The 20,487-nt window shown below is 47.2% G+C and overlaps 1 protein-coding gene across 5 annotated transcripts in view, besides 1 other annotated feature; it reads left to right on the plus strand.

Moving 5' to 3' along the window:
- The window catches only part of ACVR2B (activin A receptor type 2B), a 39,253-nt gene that overhangs the window by 8,524 nt on the left and 10,242 nt on the right, over positions 1–20,487 (plus strand). For 4 of the 5 annotated variants that reach the window (NM_001106.4, XM_017007515.3, XM_005265583.4 and 1 more), the window contains exons 2-10: positions 14,874–15,081; positions 15,448–15,557; positions 15,728–15,879; positions 15,962–16,105; positions 16,715–16,858; positions 17,265–17,413; positions 18,938–19,052; positions 19,785–19,923; positions 20,017–20,147. In NM_001106.4, the coding sequence (NP_001097.2) occupies positions 14,874–15,081; positions 15,448–15,557; positions 15,728–15,879; positions 15,962–16,105; positions 16,715–16,858; positions 17,265–17,413; positions 18,938–19,052; positions 19,785–19,923; positions 20,017–20,147 (1,292 nt within the window). Of the gene's footprint in view, positions 1–5,688; positions 9,177–14,873; positions 15,082–15,447; positions 15,558–15,727; positions 15,880–15,961; positions 16,106–16,714; positions 16,859–17,264; positions 17,414–18,937; positions 19,053–19,784; positions 19,924–20,016; positions 20,148–20,487 lie in introns of those variants that run through there. The other variant, XM_017007516.2, reaches the window with a different exon arrangement.
- Positions 14,139–14,638: an enhancer, noted in NCBI's record as "H3K27ac hESC enhancer chr3:38518043-38518542 (GRCh37/hg19 assembly coordinates)". NCBI's record gives its function as "activates a minimal SCP1, AML or CMV promoter by ChIP-STARR-seq in primed H9 embryonic stem cells {active_cell/tissue: H9 hESC(primed)}" and the evidence as "EXISTENCE:reporter gene assay evidence [ECO:0000049][PMID:30033119]".

The raw sequence follows: 20,487 nt of genomic DNA on the forward strand, positions 1-20,487 counted from the left end.
CAGCAAGCCCTGTTTTGTTCCATTTCAGTCTCTGCCCACACCCACTAAGGTTAACTACTATTCTAACTTCTAACAGCATAAAATAGTTTCATCTGTTTCTGTGCTTCATATGAATAGAACCTTACAGAATAAACTGCTTTGTGTCCATCTTTTCCTCACCATGTTTGTGACTTTAAGCTATGTTGGATGTCATGGCTTTTTAAACTCGGAGATTTGCTTTGGCAAACTTTCTGATACATATGGATCTACTTTGATCTTTTTAATAACTACGTAATATTCTAAAGTTTAAATATAGACTACATTTTACCTAGTTTCTTACTGATGGACTTTGTGATTGTATAGAATGTATGCAGACTGTTTCTCAAGAGTAGATGAGAAAATAACATCTGGATCATAAGCACGTATGTTATTGGTTTTAATAGATACTGAAAAATGGTTATACCATTTTATTTATTTATTTTTTGAGGCTACCCAAGTGATGGCAGTGAGGGTAGAAGCTGGGTGATATGGCAGTTGGCTCTCTGCGGTAATCTGTGAACATCCTTCCTACCTCCACACCCCAACCCCTGCTGAAATGCTAGGTTACAGAGTTTAGAAATAGCCTGGTTTCATGAAGGGTGCGCGGACATGGGAAGGGCTCACTTCCACTGGCTTAATGTATGAGGAGACCTGGAGATAACCTCTCGTGCCTGTGTCTCCTACCTTGTGCCTGAGTCTCCTGGGTACTGTGCTGATGAGGGAGGTAGCACTGGACTAGCCAGGATGTGCTGGTCTGGGTTTGGGATGGAAGTGCATATGTATGTTCACTTACCAGGCTCTATGCTGCGTGCAGACTCTGAAGAGACTAAGGCACTTGTTGAAGGTCGCTGAAGAGCTCTGGGTAACAGCACTACTGGCAAGCCCACTGCATTTGACAAAATCTGAGTGTGACAAATTCTGATTTCATATGTCGTGATAATGACGTTGGGGGTATTGGAGAAACCTGTAGAAAAACTATTTTAGAGTCTGGTGAGAAGCTTTTCATGACAGAAGGAGCTCTGGTGAGTTTCTGTTCCTGGCTGAGTGTATGCCTTGTTCCCTGTATAAGTCTCTGCCACAGTTGGCAGAAGACTTAGGGAAGATAGTTTGGGATGACTTGTTCACCAAAGCTGTTGCTTCCCAGTCTTGTTCTTCAGCTTGCTGCCTACTCTTTACTGTTATGTTGGGATTCTTTATGTAAGTCCACTTGTCAGGCCCTGCTAATGGATTTAGATGACACTCAAGTTTGTGGAACTGTTTCTAGTACAAATGATACTCCAATCAGCTTTCCCACATTATACATATGATGTGCGCTGTTTGTGTCTTAGTCTGCTCAGGTTGCCATAATGGAATACCATAGATTGGGTGGCTTAAACAACTGAAATTTCTTTTCTTACAATTCTGGGGACTGGAAGTTAAAGATGAAGGTGCTGTCAGGATTCGTTTCCAGTGATTCTTCTCTCTTGGGTTGGCATATGGTAGCCTTCTTGCTATGTACTTTTTGCTGTGTGTATCCACTCCAGGTGTCTCTTCTTATAAAGATACCAGTCCTGTTGGACTGGAGGCCCACCTTTATCACCTCATTTAGCCTTAATTACCTCCTTAAAGTCCTTATCTGTAAATATATTAATGGCAAAACCTGCAATTACTTTTGCACCAACCCAATAGTCACATTGGAGGTTAGGGCCTCAACCTATGAATTTTGGTGGGACTCAGTTCAGTCTATGACTGTCTGAAACAATAAAGTTTGGTTGAAAGTGAATTCTGTTTTCCTCTTGAGTGACATTTTGGAATGGAAGTTAATTTTTTCAGGGCTTTGCCCTGGTGTCTCTGTTGTTCTTGCTTAATACTGCCCATGGACAATCTTGTCTACACTGGTGGGCTTAATTTCCGTGTATGTGTGCAGGTTCCCTTGCCTTTGGGCATGTTACGATCCTGAAAATATGTCTAAAAGCTGGGTGAAAAGTAGATATGGAGATGTACTTTTCTGATAATCAGGACCAAATATCTTTCTAAAGGTAACTGGAGAAACTAGAAAAAATAAAACTTCTCTGGTTGAAGGCATTGTATATCTAAGAAGATACTGAAGAACTACCAGGCCAGTATCTGCATGAGAACAAAGGCCTAGGGTGATGATTTTGGTATTTGAGTCTGTTTTTAGTCATAGGGGCAACTGAGAGGCTGCATTTGATAGCTTTGTGGGGCTAGGAAGACAGGAATTGGAGTTCTAAGCAAAGGGTGGGCAGAGTCAATCACTTATTTGGGATTGAGATCCCAAAGATATAGAAGTTAGGGGGACCAAAATGTAGACAAACCCTAAAGTTAGATTGAAATATTCTGGGCTGCTGGGTTTGGTGGTGCACACCTGTAATCCCAGCTACTTAGGAGACTGAGGCGGGGAGGATCAGTTGAGCCCAGGAGTTCAAGACCAGCCTGGACAATATAGGAAGACCCCATCTCCAAAACAGAAAATATATTCTGGGATTAATGGTACCTTTAGACATGTTAATTCTTTCTAGAGGATTTATGTCATCCTAGGCCTCGAATTATCTCTATAATTTTGCAAATACAATGACTGGCTGGTAATTTTAAGTAAACAGCCAGCAGAAACATCACAGTTGAAACCAACCTGGATGACCTCCAGGTTGGAGTTGCCATATACATATTTAAAAATAGAAGTGTTCGGGCTGGGCGCAGTGGCTCATGCCTGTAATCCCAGCACTTTGGGAGGCCGAGGTGGGTGGATCACGAGGACAGGAGTTCAAGACCAACCTGGCCAACATGGTGAAACCCTGTCTCTACTAAAAATACAAAAAAATTAGCTGGGTGTGGTGGCAGGCACCTGTAATCCCAGCTACTTGGGGGGCTGAGGCAGGGAATTGCTTGAATCTGGGAGGCAGAGGTTGCAGTGAGCTGAAATCGCACCACTGCCCTCCAGCCTGGGTGACAGAATGAGATTCCATCTCAAAAAAAAAAAAAAAAAAAAATAGCAGTGTTCACTGTGGTCAAGGAAATGAGAGTGGGAATTTCAGCAGATAGCTGAAAACTATAAACCAAAGGAAAAATCTCTTAAAGACTTGTTTTACGTAATAACAGAAATTAATAAATCAATGAATGCTTTTATCAGGGGATTAGGTGAAACTGTATAGAGCATTAGTGAATTGGATGATAGATCAGAAGAAGATATAAACTGAAGCATGGACAGGCAGAAAGATGGATAATAACAGAATAAAGAGAAACGCATAGAGGATGAAATGAGAAGGTCTAAGAGTCATGAAATCACAGCCACAGAAGTAAAGGAGAGAGAATGAGGCAGAAAAGTTAATAGCTGAGAACTTTCTAAAATTAATTAAAGACATCAAGCCACAGATTCAAGAAGTCCTGTGAATCCCAGGTAAGACAATAAATTTGAAAAATCCACATCTATTTCCATCACAGTAAAAATTCCAGAAAACAAAGACAGAATGTTGAAAGCAGCTAGAGAAAAAAGGCATTACTATCAAAAGAGCTGTAGTTATACTGACAGCTAACTTCTCAATAGAAACAGTGGAAGCCAGAAGATAATAGAATGATAGCTTTAAGTGCTGAAAGAAATAGTTGTCAGCCTAAAATTCTGTATCAAGTGAAGCTGTTGTTCCAGAATGAAGTCATCATCATGTTAAGTGAAATAAGCCAGACATGGAAGGACAAATAACCACATTATCTCACTTATATGTGGAATCTAAAAAGGTTGATCTCATAGAAATAGAGCGTAGAATAGTGGTTACCAGAGGCTAAGGAGGTAGGTAGGAGGTCAGATGGGGAGAGGGTGGTCAAAGGGTACAAAATTACATTTAAAGGAAAAAATTCTGGTCTGTTGCACCGTAGGGTGCTTGTAGTTAGCAAGAATGTATGGTATATTTCAAAATAGCCAGAAGAGAGGATTTTGAATGTTCCTACCACAAAGAAATGATAAATGGTAATGGATTTGTTAATTACCCTGATTTGATCATTACGCAGTGTATATATGTATCAAAACGTATTCTACCCCATAAATATGTACAGTTATTACGTGTCAATTTTTAAACCAAAACTTCTTTTTTTTTTTTTTGAGATGGAGTCTTGCTCTATCACCCAGGCTGGAGTGCAGTGGGGCCATCTTGGCTCACTGCAACCTCCGCCTCCCGGGTTCAAGTGATTGTCCTGCCTCAGCCTCCTGAGTAGCTGGGACTACAGGCACACGCCACCAAGCCTGGCTAATTTTTGTATTTTTTAGTAGAGACAGAGTTTCACCATGTTGGTCAGGCTGGTCTTGAACTCCTGACCTCGTGATCCACCTCCCTCAGCCTCCCAAAGTGCTGGGATTATAGGCATGAGCCACCACGCCCGGCCTACAAAACTTCTTAAAAAAGAATGAACATGTCAAGGAATGTGTTCTTCAGGCAGAAGGAAAATAAATCCAGATGGAATGTCAGAGATGAAGAGAGGAATGAAGAGCAATGAAAATAATAAATATTCGGGCATTTATTGTGAGAATGTGTTACTGAGTTTGAAATACCACAAAAGAAAATGCTTGGCAACAATGCTATCTGTGAGAGTGGAGTGAAAATCAATTTAAATTGTTCTAAAGATTCTTACAATGTCCAGGAAGAGAGTGGAACTACCAAATAATACTAAATTTTGATAAGGCATGCTATCATCTCTAGGGTAACCAAAGGATAGATTATAATTTTCAAGCTAAAAAAGAGACAAATGGGCTGGGTGCGGTGGCTCACGCCTGTAATCCAAACACTTCGGGAGGCTGAGGTGGGCGGATAACCTGAGGTGGGTTGTTCAAGACCAGCCTGACCAACATGGAGAAACCCCATCTCTCCTAAAAATACAAAATTAGCTAGGCATGGTGGCGCATGCCTGTAATCCCAGGAGGGAGGCTGAGGCAGGAGAATCACTCGAACATGGGAGGCGGAAGTTTCGGTGAGCTGAGATTGCCCCATTGCACTCCCGCCTGGGCAACAAGAGCGAAACTCTGTCTCAAAAAAAAAAAAAAGGCAGACAAATGGGTTGAGTGCAGTGGCTCATGCCTGTAATCCCAGCACTTTGGTGGTTCAAGTGGGGAGGATCACTGGAGCCCAGAGTTTGAGACCATCTTAGGCAACGTAGTGAGACCCCATCTCTACAAAAAAAAAAAAATTAGCCGAGTGTGGTGGCATTGCACCTGTAAGTCCGAGCTACTTGGGAGGCTGAAGTGGGAGGATTGTTTGAGCTCAGGAGTTTGAGGCTGCAGTGAGCTGTGATTGAGTCACTGTACTCCAGCCTAGGTCACAGAGCAAGACCCTGTGTCCAAAAAAAAAAAAGGAGACATGGAATAATAGAGAATTCTTCAGTTGAGAAGAAAGCAATGAGAGACAAGGGAACATAGACCAAATGAGATAAATATAGCTAATATTTCTAATAAATATATGATGTTAAAATTATTATTATTTTTAAGACAGGGTCTTGCTCTGTCACCCAGGGTGGAGTGCAGCGGTGCAATCTCAGCTCACTGCAACCACTGCCCCTCTAGGCTTAAGTGATCTTCCCACCTCAGCCTTTGAAGTAGCTAGGACCACAGGTGCAAACCACCACAACTGGCTAATTTTTTGTATTTTTGGAAGAGATGGGGTCTCACCATGTTGCCCAGGCTTGTCTCGAACTCCTGAGTTCAAGCAGTCTGCCCGTGTCAGCCTCCCAAAGTGCTGGGATTATGGGCATGAGCCACCATGCGGGCCTGATGTAAGAATTCTTAATAAATAAGTAAGGATGGACCTGAATACTTACTAAAAGCTCTGAGGCCATGGGTGGAGTTGGCTTAATCTAGGGTGATCTGATTGGGCTGTTTTGGGAATTAGTTGGATTCCCCTGAGAAATATCTTCTGTTTTCTCTCTGGAGGGGGCAGGCTTGGATATCAACATCCTGGAAGTCAAGGGGGTTGAGAACTAGGGGTTCCTGTATTTGGTATATTGTTCTGTATTCCTCCTGTTTCAGTGTGATACCTGTGTCCTCAGATTTGCCTGCTCCTCTTTGTCGAAGAGGCTCTCTGTTCATTTTCTTTAGAAAATAAACATAATCTCCGCTGGGTTGGAGAGGGGCAACCATGATGAGTGGTGGTGGGATCTGAGGATCTGACTGTACCTTACTAACCAACTCTTCTGTCTTTAGACTCATTTTTACCCCATTCTTTCAAAGACATCTGGTGCCACAAATTCCTGAGTTTTGAAGGGTTCTGTGGGGGAAGTCACATTGCTTTTCTACTTTATCCAGAGCCAACTTAGGAGTCTGTGTGATCAGTTACCATGTGTGTAAGTGCTTTCCAGCCTTGAAATGTCATTTCTGTAGTTCTCTCCTGTTCTCTTTGTTCTTACAGGTTTATGCATTAAACTACTTTATTGCAGTTTTAGTGGGACTACAAGAGGGAGCAAAAAGGAAATGTTTGTGTATAATCCTTGACCTTTACCTGGAAGCTCTCCTTCCAGTGTTTTCCAGGAATGATGGGGCCTGGAAAAAGGCATGTATTTCAGAGCTGTGGGAGGATGGTGCCAGGGCCTTGTTTACAAAGTCCAAGTTGGAAGTGACTTGAGGTCACCTGGCTTGGTTCCTTGTTTCTAGGCGGGACTTCTGAAGGCAGATGGAGCTCCTCCTGTCACCTTGGAAGGTGCTCCTGTATTTACATTTCTGGCATTTGTAGTGAACAAAACAGTGGAAAATCCTCATGCAAAATACATAGAAATGCTGGAAAAAGTATAATAAACACCCTTTTAAAATGCATATACATTGCTGCATGTATAAGAAGTAAGGGAAAAACAAGAAGGAGCTGGAAACTAGAGCTGTATGCCTTCACTGACTGAAACTGCTGATTCCTTGGGGACTTTGCCTGTCTTTATAATTTAGAGATGTGGGTTTAAGTAGCAGTGTGGACAATAGGAGAGAAGATGTGGAATTGAGACTGAGGCCTTTGCATGGCTTCAGACTTCTGTTGTGTTATACCTTCAGTAAAAATGTGGGCCAGAAGAAACATGTCTTTGTTGACAAAGAGACTAAATAATGAAATTGTCTGAGACTGGGTAGGGTTGGGGTTGGGGTAGTTTCCCCGAGAATTTATAACCATAGGCCTATGCTCATGTGAGCTTGGCATTTATACCATCCTGTTCTCTGGTAAACTAAGTTGAGAAATTAAAGTGGTTCCAAATAGTTAATGTCCTAGGGAGATTGGCAGAAGGCAGAAATATAAGTTACCTTTGAAAGGTTGCCCCTTCAAACTTGGCCTCAAAGTAGTCCAACAGAAAAGGCCCCACTGAACATAAGCTCAGTATTCAAAATTCTAAAACCACATGAGGAAACAGTACCATGAATAAAGTCAGAAATAACAAATGTCAGAAGCAGACTTTCAAGAAGTTAAATTACAGAATTCTAAGAGAGATTTGGAAGTAGGCCAAAGTACAGAAGTATCAAAATTGACCAGGAAGTTTTTTTTTAATAGAACTTCTAGAAATGAAAAAATAGAATAATTGAATTTATAAATTGAGTAGAAGAACTAAACAACAGATTAGACATAGCTAAAGAGAGAATTCGTGAATTGGAAGTTGATCTTCAGGAATTACCTGTAATGGTGTTTAGACACAGAATTGGAAATTAGGAAAGGAGGGTTAAGAGACTGGGCAGAATAAGAAGGTCTAATATGCTTATAATAGGAATTTCAGAATCATAGAATTTGGAGATGCAATATTCAAGTTGATAATAGCCAAGAATTTGTCAGAATTGACAAAAAACACAAATCATTAGACTAAAGGCATAGTGAACCCCAAATAGTATAAATTTAAATATATACTTAGACACATACCTTGTAGTGAAACTGCCAAGAGAGAAAGCAGCCAGAAAGAAAAAAACAGAATATCTGCAAAGTTAAATTAATAGCAGACTTTTCAGCAACAGTAGTGGAAGCTAGAAAATAGTGGAATAATATTTTCAGAGAGCTGAGGTAAAATAACAATCTAAAATTTTATGTTCATCTAAATTGCCATTCAGGAAGAAAGACAAAACATTTTGAGAAAAGCAACAAAGGCTCCTCTGCCAAGAGATCTCTACTGAAATATTTTTTTTCAGTAAGGACAGTGATCTCAGAAAGAAAGGCAGAGATGCAGGGAGAGATGACTGTATGGATGCTTACAAAATATAGACACAAATAATGTCTGATTTGGGAGCTGGGTAGTAAGAACAGTGACACTAAATACGGAACACAAGCAATATGTTAAATTAGATGTACATTGGAAGAGTCATTAGAGTTTAAAATATTTAAGTTCCAATGAGGGATGGTAGAGATGTTGATTTAGGCTTTTAGTATAAGTGTACCCATTAAAGTTTATAGGCCTAGCTTACAACGGAATAGGAATGAGATGTATAACTTTAAAAGTGGCTAAAATAGGAAATTTTAAAAGATAATCCAAATAGAGGTAACGGTAGAAAAGAAACAAATTTAAACATACCCAGTAATCATATATATAAACATACCCAGAAATCATAAATGTAATGAGACCGAACTCTAATTAAAAGATGGTGTTAGATTGAATTGGGGGGAGGGAAGAGAGAAAGATTTTTTGTTTAAGTTAGAAAAGGTAATTTTCTCTAATACTAACACACGAAATGTCATATAGCTATGTTAACATCAGATAAAATGGACTTTTTGGCAAAGAGCATTCATTACAAATGAAGAGGGTTACTATATAGTAAGAAAAATTTTATTACCAAGAATATATAAAATAATTTCTGTAACTCAAAGGAAAAGTAATCCAGTAGAAAAATGAGAAAAGATACAAACAAACAGTTCTCAGAAGGAAATGTTAGTAATCACAAGAAGATGATCAGTCTCACAAGTAATCAGGGAAATGCAGATCCAAATTGTGTACCATTTCACACTCACCAGGTGAACCCCAGGTGGGGGCTGTCATCTGTTGGGAACTTGGATTGGCACATCCACTTTGGAGAACAGTTTAACAGTATTTAGTCAGTTGATCTTTAGACTCTATGACCTAGCCAAGAAACGCCCACACATGAGTGCACACACACACGCACACACACAAATGTAAAAAAGAAGTCATGATGGCATTGCTGAGATCAACAAACATAAATAACCTGAGTCCAGTAGGTGAGTGGATACTTAAAGTTATGTGAGGTTATAAGCTTCTGAAATAAATGCACTTCAGGGCTGCAGGAGAGGCAGCAGTATATAAAGAACATGCACTCTAGAGACAGGCTGCCTGGGGTTTGAAGCCTGATTTTGACACTTAATAAGTAACTTGGGTAGGTTACTTAATCTCTTTGTGCCTCAGTTTTTATAAAATGAGGACCTGCACAGGTTTATCGTGAGGATTAAATAAGTTACTCTTTGCAGAATGCTTAGAATAGGACCTGGGATGTAGTGTGAGCTGTATAAGTGTTAAATTAATGCATATCAACCTGGATGGCTTACAAATATATGGATGAAGGACAAAAAGCATATGTATTAGAGATTGTATTTGGTTGCTAGAAATAGTCAAGAGTTATTCTCTTGGGTAAAAGAAATGCAAAGACACAATGTTGGAATATTTTGGGTTTTTTTCTCCCCTATTGTACATGCCGCTCCACAGTGTGCATACACGTGTGTGCATGTGTCAGTGTCTTTATCTGTTATACACTCCAGCCTTCCTTCCTGGCCCCATCTGTCTCTTCAGGTTCCCTCCATCTCTACACCCCAGCTGCCCTTACTCTGCTGCTGGGGAGGTGGTGGAGATGCTGCTTTGTGGAGCTGGGGGCTGTGGAATCATAACATGGATAAGTCACTGCTCTTGGCCCTCCTTCGCTCTTATGGAGGGACCTGCTAGGGCTATAAAGGCAGCTGAGCAGACTCAGGGCTGCCTTTCGAGGGGTGCTGTCTGTGGGGAGAGCTGCCTTTCCTCTCTGGGCAGATGTGAAGGCTGGACACCAGAGGGAGAACACTGGCCCTCCTGAGATGTTCTTGCTTGTCTTCCTCTTGGGCATGGAGGCTTCTGGCAGGGTGTGCCTCAGTGTGCTGGCAGAAGCAGACCTAGATAGATGTAGTGGTGAGTGGCACTCCTTCTCACCTGGTGAGTGGCACTCCTTCTCACCACTACAGTGCCCACAAGGGTGGGGCTGGGCACCTGCTCCCTGGGGTAGGTGGCTGCCAAGGGGCCTCCAGGAGCCAACTGAGCAGTGGTTCTGCTGGCTGCTGGGGTCACAGTTCCTCTAGGAGACACTGGCTGGACTGGGGACACCCAAGTGCAGAGCTCAGGGACTCCAGGGGAGGTGGGCATGGACACTCCACCTCTGAACCATCTCCTCTTCTTTCTCTCCCCATTGCACTTTGAGCCCCTCACAGATGGGACCTTGGTGAGGTTTCTCCCTTTTCTCCTCAGGGCATAGTGGGTATGTCCAAGGCCTACTGGACTGAGCTGCTTCATAGGAGAAACGAACCTCCCAGTATTTGACCTCCCAGTGCGTGTCTTCGAGCATCCAAACTAGCCGGCTTAGGTTCTGCTACCAGGAATGTTGGTTCAGAGTGCAGTCTGCATGTACTGTGTGTGTGTATGTGCATGTACTGTGTGTTTGTGTGAGGGTCGGGGGTGGTGTATGTGGGAGTGGTCCTGCCAGGAGGGATGGTTTGGGGAGCACTGGGTACTTTCTCTCTACTGGCATTAGGCCCCTTGGAGCATAGGGACTGCCCCTTGGGGACACTGCCACTTTTATTTCAGCTTCCTTTGGAGGCCAGCAGTTGGTTTGGCTGTGACTCAGGGATGCAGCAAGCCCCTTGTCCTGGTGTCTGGGGGCCATGCTCACTTACCTCAGGGCTATGAAGCAGCAGGCCTAAGGGGGTACCATAAGCACCCGCATCTTGGGAGCATGGCTTCTCCTCCTGCCAGGTTAGGCGAGTGGGCTGGGGGTCAAGGGGAGCCTCCTGTGCATGGATGCCCTGGCTTCCTGGGTGTGGGTGGGAATCTGTATCTATTAAAAGGCAGAGGTGGCCTGTGGTTGGAGTATTGCCAGAGGCTATAAATAGCTGAGTGTGTGAAGAAGGAGAGTCTGGGGAAGAGAGAGGAATGGGGGAGGCCCCTGGGTCTCCAGGTGGCAGCAGAGCCCTGTGGTGAGGGAGGGGCATGGGCTCTGAACATAAAGCTCTTGTAGGCATGGTGTGACTTGATGGGCTGGGAGTCATACAGGGGACTTGTGTTATGAGGGATTGTCATAGGCAGTAGGGGATGGTTGTGGCTGTAATATAGCCAATGTGCCAGGCAGTGTTCTAACCACTCTTAAAGTGCATTAACTCAATTAGTTCCTACAACTACCCTAGCTGTGAAGTATTGGAGTAGGACTTGAAGTCTGGCCCGCTCACGGCTGCCATTTTTCGCTGGGTTGCCTGTAGGAGGATCTGGTCAGATGGGGGTCAGGTGACATCTTTTTGAAATGGAGTCTTGCTCTTGTTGCCCAGGCTGGAGTGCAATGGCACGACCTCAGCTCACTGCAACCTCCGCCTCCTGGGTTCAAGTGATTCTCCTGCCTCAGCCTCCTGAGTAGCTGGGATTACAGGTGTCCGCCGCCATGCCTGGCTCATTTTTGTATTTTTAGTAGAGACCAGGTTTCACCACATTGGCCAGGCTGGTCTCGAACTCCTGACCTCAGGTGATCTGCCCGTCTCAGCCTCCCAAAGTGCTGGCATTACAGGCGTGAGCCACCGTGCCTGGCCCAGCTGACATCTTGAACCCTTGGGTCCTCTGAGATTTGGAACTCCCAGCCTCTTCACTTGGGTACTGCCCATGGTAGTGGCAAGTGGGTGGTCCCTGACTTATCAGTGGCCTGGAGAGAGGAGGTTACTCTGTTGGCCTCCCTTGTTTGGGCTCCTGCCTCAGCACAGAGGCTTGTTGCTTGTCTGAATGGAGATGGAAACTCTTTGAGGACCTAGGGCTTGGGCTGCAGGCTGAGGCCATCCTTGTTGTCCCCTCCTTTCGACATGTTGCTCTAGCCATGATACCTATACCCTTCTGTCCTTCTGTCTGTCCACCCATCCATCTATGATGTGTTTGGAATGATTCTGCCACTTAGGACGGCAAGGGTCCTGCCTTTGTCGGCTTTCCAGTCTTGTGGGGAAAGCCTGACATTTAGAAAGTAGTTGTCGAGTACATGTGTAATGTTTTATTTCTCATACAAGTGTTCATTGTGTTATTTCCTCTTGAGATTATTTTTGGTTATATTATTGGTACACTTTTTGGATGTCTGAAATAATCCTTTAAGCAACAACAGGCCATTAGTCAAGGGTGGTTAAGTTAGGTGGCAGGGGAAGCACAAGGGCCAGTGGAAATAGAGAGTTTGCCTGGTCTCAGGGGAGAGGGAAGAGCCGAAATCAGAGGAAGGTGGGTAACCTTACGGCCAGAGGTGGTAACTTCCGACTTACGCTAAGCCTAGAAGCCAAACACATTCAAGGGTGTGACATTATGGTGTGGCTGCAGTGAGGGGAGGAAGGTAGGGGAGTGCCCAGCTTCCCTGTCTGCAGTGCAGCTTCATGGCTGGCCCCACAAGTCTCAGGTCTCCACGGACCCCCACTAGAACTGCTGCCGTGGATGCAGTGGGGCCCAGCCTGGGGAGAGGAGGCCCTGTGGCCTCTGGGCAGGGTGCTTCGAATAACCCAGTAATTGGGTGCTGCTGCAGGCAGACAGGGACAATGTAGGTGCAAGCCTCAGTCCTGGCCCCGGTGTGCTTGTTCAGCCTTTGGTCTACTACCCCCACCCCACCCTCTCAGGTTCTCCCTCTAAACCTTAAAGCCACATGCTTGATGAAGGGCCTGGCTGGGGAAGCCAGTGTGTACCCTTGTAAGCCTCTCTGTGGACCCTGAGGCCCTTCCTTTAGAAGAGGCTGAGTCCCAGCTGACTGACTGGTCAGGAGGCCATGCATTTTCCTTTCACAGGTGTCAGAGCCTAGGCCACCTGGTGCAGGATGACCAGAGCTGTGGCTGGGCACTGCCATTCTGATTGGGTGACATTTCGGACCCTTAGGTGCTACCTGGATCCTTGAGATTCGTTGCTTGCTCCTGCCCCTGGAAGAAGCATCCTGTCACTTCAGGGAGTTGCAGAAAGGGGTTGGGTTTGACAGGAGAATGGCCGCTCCAGTGGTGGGGGGCTTCTTTCACCTGACAGCCAGTCAGTATCCTTCTCTCTGGGGTATACCCTGGGAAATCAAGCTCTTTCCTCATGAAGGCCAACAGTAGGGGTGGAGATGAGCGTGAGGATGTCCTTAGGCTACGCTAGTGTTCAGGGTACTTTGCCCTCCCCCAGGGTCAGGGCAGGGTTCGTGTTCTTTCCTACTCCAGTCAGCCTTTCAGGCTGATGGCGAAGTAGGGCTCTTGGCTGCTGGTGGGCTGGCTGTCTGGTGGGATTGACTCTGACCCCTCCCTCCTTCCTGGGATGGGAATAGTGGTAGGAGAAGACCAGCCAGGAGTGGTGCCAGGTCACTGGCCTATGTGGGCCCAAAAAGTGTGGATAGGATGGCTGGATGCTTGGTGCAACTATCCTCTCGGGTGTCTGTGTGGGGTTCTGGCAGTGAGGTTGTAAATGCCACCACCTGCCTCCATTGTGGGCGGCCTATAATGGGGTGCTGGCAGAGCTCTCAGACAGAACCGAACCTCCTTTGGCATCTCCATACTCTTTCCTATGTCAGGGCTATGTGGTTCCTGCGGGTAGTGGGAGTAGACTGGGGCTGGGACTGGAGGTTGTTTTGTAGGGGATGGTGAGGAAGATGGATTTGGGGAATGTTTGAAATCAAGTTTGAAGGAAAGTGTTTGAATGGGCAGGTGGGGGTTGAAGTCGTTGTCCACCTGGATGGCACTTCCTGCAGCAGGTGGAAGGGGGTTCAGAAGTGATGGGGAGTGCCCTGGGGTCATCAGGAGCCTAGCCAGGAGAATGATCTGTGATTGCAGGTTAAGCCACCAGCTAGCTCTCCTCTGCCTGAGGCATGTATTCCCCTTGGTGACTCTGGGAGGCTTACCCTGTACACGCAGGCCTCATTCCTTAAGTTCTCCAGCCCTGCCGAGCACCAGGTGTGGTTGCTGGGTGTAGAAAGGACACTTACAGGGTCCTTTCCATTCCGTATGGGCAGGGAGTTGTGGAGGACCCACTGGCATGGTCTCCCTGGGGAACTGTTGTGAGAAGGGGGCTTGGGGGCAGAGACAGGAGCAGCAGGAAGCCACTCCCCTTTGTAGTTTTCCCAGGTGGTCCTTGAGATCTTTATCACAATCACCTGAGACAGACAGGGGTGATTAAAAGCACATATTCTGCCCCCATTCCCATTGGGATGGGTCTGGATTGGGCCTGGAAATACGTATTTGAATGAACACTGCTCCCCTTTCCCACACCTGCAACATACAGTGATTCCGATGTGCACTGGGGTTTTAAGGGGGCCTCTTCATCGGTTTCTGCTGCAGCAGGGAAGTAGCCCCCACCCCCACGCAGGAGCCTCAGGTGTTGGTGCCCTTTCTGTGCATCTGGACTCTGTCTGTCTGGCTGTTTATCCATCCTTCTGTGGCATTAGGTTTCCTGCCTCCTCCCTTTTGCTTAGGCCTAGGGGCAGCTGTGATGGGCTGCAGAATGAGGTGGGGGCTGGTGCCAGCTGGCACACGTAAATTAAGAGGTGTGGGACGGATGGGTGGCCTACGTCCAGGGGTGAGTGCAGGAGGTTGGTGACCCCAACCCACCACCCGGCCTCCCTCCCTCAGGGTGGCCTGGCACCCAGGACTGGGAGTAGGGGTTTGGGTGGTGGTCCCAGGGGCATGCTCAGTGGTTCTCTTTTCTCTGGGGCACAGGCTCTGGGCGTGGGGAGGCTGAGACACGGGAGTGCATCTACTACAACGCCAACTGGGAGCTGGAGCGCACCAACCAGAGCGGCCTGGAGCGCTGCGAAGGCGAGCAGGACAAGCGGCTGCACTGCTACGCCTCCTGGCGCAACAGCTCTGGCACCATCGAGCTCGTGAAGAAGGGCTGCTGGCTAGATGACTTCAACTGCTACGATAGGTACCCCAAGACTTGCCCTCCTTTCCTCTTGGACCCACCTGCGCTTATACTGCCCACTGGGCCATTTGGGTCTCAGGATGTCTGAGTGGGAGATAAAGGACCAAGAAGGGGCTCTTGAGATGGTAGCCATGGCCCCACGCCCTTCCACACCCTATTTGTCCTACCTTAGCCCTGAGGAGGGGTCTCAGTGTCAACCCCTGGCTGTTCTTCCTTGGCTTTGGGTCTCCTGTAGGGGAGGTGAGTTCACACCGTCCCCCTGGTGTTGCCCATGAGGTGCTCTGTCTGTGAGGAGGGGTTGGCAGGGCAGGCCTGGGGGAGTCTTGCATCCCCCAGGTGAGGGGTATATGGAAAATTCTGTGCCTCCAGGCAGGAGTGTGTGGCCACTGAGGAGAACCCCCAGGTGTACTTCTGCTGCTGTGAAGGCAACTTCTGCAACGAACGCTTCACTCATTTGCCAGAGGCTGGGGGCCCGGAAGGTAAGGGGGCAGTGTGGAAGTGGGGCCTTGAGTCAGCCGACCTGGGCTTCTTTGGCTTGGAGCGCTTGGCTCCTCAGTTGGGTGGGGTGTGGCTACAGGGCCCTGTAGTCTGGCTCTGGAAGTGTGAGGGTGGGCAGACTGTTTGACACAGGGCTCTGTGTGTCCCCCAGTCACGTACGAGCCACCCCCGACAGCCCCCACCCTGCTCACGGTGCTGGCCTACTCACTGCTGCCCATCGGGGGCCTTTCCCTCATCGTCCTGCTGGCCTTTTGGATGTACCGGCATCGCAAGCCCCCCTACGGTCATGTGGACATCCATGAGGTGAGACAGTGCTGGCTTGGGGCAGGGCAGGATAGAGGTGGGGAGGACAGGCCAGACCTTTTTAAGCCTTGCTCTCCCCCAGGACCCTGGGCCTCCACCACCATCCCCTCTGGTGGGCCTGAAGCCACTGCAGCTGCTGGAGATCAAGGCTCGGGGGCGCTTTGGCTGTGTCTGGAAGGCCCAGCTCATGAATGACTTTGTAGCTGTCAAGATCTTCCCACTCCAGGTGAGTGTTTGAGGGGCTCCATCCAGGTCCTCTGCCTCCACTGTAGCTTGAACTGGAGGCTCTCCTGACCTGGGGCAATCCAAACCCCAAATAATATTGTGGTATGAGAGAAAAGTGAGCCTTACTGGGCCTAGTTACTCATGTTACACTTGGCTGGTCTGTAGATTTCATGCAACTATGGAATTTTATCATAGGACTAGGGTAGGGCTTTGCAAAACCTTGATTTGCCCCGGTTACCAGGGTTTTGTTTTTGACATTGGGTTCTTTCCAGCGGCCCTGGACACCAGGTCTGGCTCTGCCTCATTTGTTGGGTGATACGGGGTCACTCACACCCCATGCATGGACCTTAGTGGCCCCATTTGTAAATCGAAGTGCTAGCCTTAAGTGATCTCAGGGATCACTGTTGGCCTCATGCTCTGGGGCCTAGCTTAATACAGGTCTTCTCCTGGTCCCCTTACAAATGCTGAAGCTGGGAGGCTGGGGGGTGGGGATTGGGCTGGGAGGCTTGAGGGTGGGGAATGGGGAATGGTTGTTCTGCTGTAGGGCAATGTGACTGCAGCAGGGCTAAGCCAGCCACTTGTCCCCCCAACCCCTCGCCCCCGGCCTCAGGACAAGCAGTCGTGGCAGAGTGAACGGGAGATCTTCAGCACACCTGGCATGAAGCACGAGAACCTGCTACAGTTCATTGCTGCCGAGAAGCGAGGCTCCAACCTCGAAGTAGAGCTGTGGCTCATCACGGCCTTCCATGACAAGGTGAGCCACACCCATCAGAATGGACTCTGAGAGGAGATGGAATGTCCCCTTGGTGGCTCTCCATAATATGATGACCCCTTCCCTGTGGAGGTGTCCACCATGAAGTACTCTGCCCCGGTAGCACTATCCACTATGGGGTTACTCCTGCCATAGGTGTGGACATTGGTTCCCCTATGATAGGAACCTCTCACCCTGGGATAAGTTTTTATGATAAGAGTAGTGACTCCATGATTCCCACCCCTAGCCCTCCCTGCCTCCTGGCCTCATCCATCTTCCATATCGATTGTAGTAGCCTTCCAGGAGAGCAGCCTAGCCATTGGCCCACTGAGACTTCTCTGCCAGGGCTGGGCTGGGTCCTGTCCTGTACCCAGAATCTGTGCTCAAGTTCTGTGCTGTCTTCTCTCAGGGCTCCCTCACGGATTACCTCAAGGGGAACATCATCACATGGAACGAACTGTGTCATGTAGCAGAGACGATGTCACGAGGCCTCTCATACCTGCATGAGGATGTGCCCTGGTGCCGTGGCGAGGGCCACAAGCCGTCTATTGCCCACAGGTACCTGGGTCAGCAGGTGCCTTTCCTGCACTTGACCTGGAGCTGTGGGAAGGGTTGGTGGGCGAGAGCAGTGTCTGGAGATGTCTCAACTTCCTAAACATACTTACCCTGCTTGCTGTGTGTCCGAGGCAGCTGGGCACAAAACCTGGCCTTCCCACTGTGTCCTGGGGATGGCATGGCCTCCCAAGCTGGTTTTTGGTGCCCTCTAATGGCCACATGAAGTGCTGACTCCATTACTTTGGTTGGAGAGTTGGCTCAGTAGTTCTCAAATTTTCTAGTTTAGGATCCCTTTATACTCTTAAAATGACTTTTGTGTAAGTGGATTATGACTATTGATATTTGCTGTATTTGAGCACACCCACACATCCCATTCGCTGTCAGAGTGAGGACATCACATCTCATGTAGCCTCGGGAAAACTCTATGCTCCTAAGAGAATGAGCCTTATAAAAGCAAATAAATGAAAATAATTTTGACTTTATAGATTCCCTTGGAACAGTCTTAGAGATCTTCTGGGGTCCTCGAACCACCCTTTAAGAAACTCTGGATGAGCTCATCACTGTCATGCTTACTAAATGGCAGGCAGTGCTCTAAACACTTGAGAAGTATCAATTCATTTGACCTTCATTACCGCCCATTGAGACAAGTACTGTATTTCTCAGCTCTGTCTTGCAGATGGAGGAACAGTAGTACAGAGAAGTTGAATGACTTAGCCAAGGTCTTGTAGCTAGTTGAGTCTGGTTCTGTGACTGTGAGGGAGGGGAATGAACCTCAAATTCCAGCGTTCAAAGCTGAAGGGTCCCTGATGGTAATAACAGTAATGACATAGAAGGTAGACTGTATGAAATTGCCGTTTTTATAGGTCAAAAGGTTGAATGTTGTCTCTGCTATATGGCTCAACTTAATAGGAATACCTAGTAAGTATGCCAGGTGTGGCCCTAAACATTTGCACTTACCACTCAGTCGAATCCTCACAAGGCTGAGACAGGCACTGGGGAAACTGAGTACCACAAGTAGCTTTGCTTAGTTAGAGGTGGAGCTGGGTGCATGCAATAGCACCCTTGCTCCAGCCGGCCTTCATGGTGAGCTTGAGACCCTAAGGGGTCTCTGCAGGATCCTAGGAAAGCTAATATTAAATTCCTATTCTCATTCACATTCCAAATGCTGTAAATTCTTCTCAGAAAACTTGCATCCCAGGCCAGTGTGCCTGTCCACAACCCCTCTGAGAATATATGGGCTGGCCTTTGATAGTGTGGGGACTGGGACAGGGTCTGCCCAGCCATTAGGGTAGGTGTTGCTTTGCCAACCCTGGGGGAAGCCTTCCATCTGAAGTGCACTGAGGGATTCTCACACCCATGTCGGCGCCTGCAGCTGCCTGCTTGTGCTGCTTCACCTCTGCACCCCAGGTAGGGTGGGATGGCCTGGTCTGGGGCCTGACTCTAGGGCACAGACTCTAGTATCTTGGGAACCAAGGTGGGAGTTGGATCATGATGTTAAGCTTTATCTCTGCCCACTTGTTTCCACAGGGACTTTAAAAGTAAGAATGTATTGCTGAAGAGCGACCTCACAGCCGTGCTGGCTGACTTTGGCTTGGCTGTTCGATTTGAGCCAGGGAAACCTCCAGGGGACACCCACGGACAGGTAACAGGCCTCACAGGGCAGGAAGAGAGGGACAGACCCAGGGTAGATACTTTGCCCTTTTTGTGCTCAGCTGGGGAGGTGCAGGGATGAGGGTGACTGCATGCGTTCAGAGCTGTCTGAGAACTTAGAGCAATGCTCTTGTTTGACCAGTGGAGAAACCAAGACCAGGAAGGCAGTGTAGTTTAGCTTCCGTAGGACAGTCAGCTGGGAAATGTAGAGATTCCCCACTGGGGTTTTGACCACTAGTCCTTGCAATCTTAGTCTTTCTCTCACTTTTTTAGTTTTAATTCCTAAGACAAAACAAAGAAATGTACTAAGGATCCAAACAAAGAACCTGGAAAAAGTAACTAAAAATTAAACTTAGGAAATCATTCCTAAAACAATCACTGTTATTATTTTTTAAGTGTTCTCCTTCCCTCTTTGTTTTTGGTCTTAATCTCAGTCAGATACATATCATCTGTAGTTCCTTGTATTAATTTGGTAACAATTCCATTTTAGATTACTATTATCTCCAGGATATAGTATTTAAAAATTATTAGCCAAGTATAATTGATGCTGTGACCTCTTGTAACTGTTGTGAATGTGGTGAATCGAGGTTTGCTATCATTGATAACCTGTCTGAATTGCTCTGTCTTGCCCGCCATCTGGTGCACAGAGGCTGTAACTCCCATGTCCCAGCTGTGTGTGTATGGCCAGTCACTGTAAATCCTGCCCTCCTCTGTCCTCACATAGGTAGGCACGAGACGGTACATGGCTCCTGAGGTGCTCGAGGGAGCCATCAACTTCCAGAGAGATGCCTTCCTGCGCATTGACATGTATGCCATGGGGTTGGTGCTGTGGGAGCTTGTGTCTCGCTGCAAGGCTGCAGACGGTAAGTAGGATGGCAGCCCTGGGCATCCTAGATTGAGTGATAGGGAGCAGTGGGACCTTAGAGTGATCCTGCCAGGCTCTCTCTTTCTCCTAGGACCCGTGGATGAGTACATGCTGCCCTTTGAGGAAGAGATTGGCCAGCACCCTTCGTTGGAGGAGCTGCAGGAGGTGGTGGTGCACAAGAAGATGAGGCCCACCATTAAAGATCACTGGTTGAAACACCCGGTAAGGGGCCTGGTTCAGGCAACTTTGCAGGGGGGTGGAGAAGGGAAAACCCTTCATGTGTAGCAGGTAAGCTGAAATCAAGGGGGAATGGGCAAATAGAAAGTCTGCGACGTTCCCTGGACTCTAGGGATGTGTTCCAGGGGTTATGGGGAGTGAGGTAGGATGATGTCCTTCTCCTGATCCCCACTTTGACTGAACTGCTACATTTTGGGCACTTGTATGGTTTGGGCTTCCAATAAGATTTTGTTTGAATATCAGCACTTCAAGGCAAGTAGTGGTGTCTATCCTAGTAGGGGCCTTGGTGTCTCCTTCTCCCTCCTGTGTATGTTGAGGTTCAATG

The sequence above is a fragment of the Homo sapiens genome, chromosome 3 (genome assembly GCF_000001405.40).
Source record: "Homo sapiens chromosome 3, GRCh38.p14 Primary Assembly".
Taxonomy (NCBI): Eukaryota; Metazoa; Chordata; class Mammalia; order Primates; family Hominidae; genus Homo; species Homo sapiens.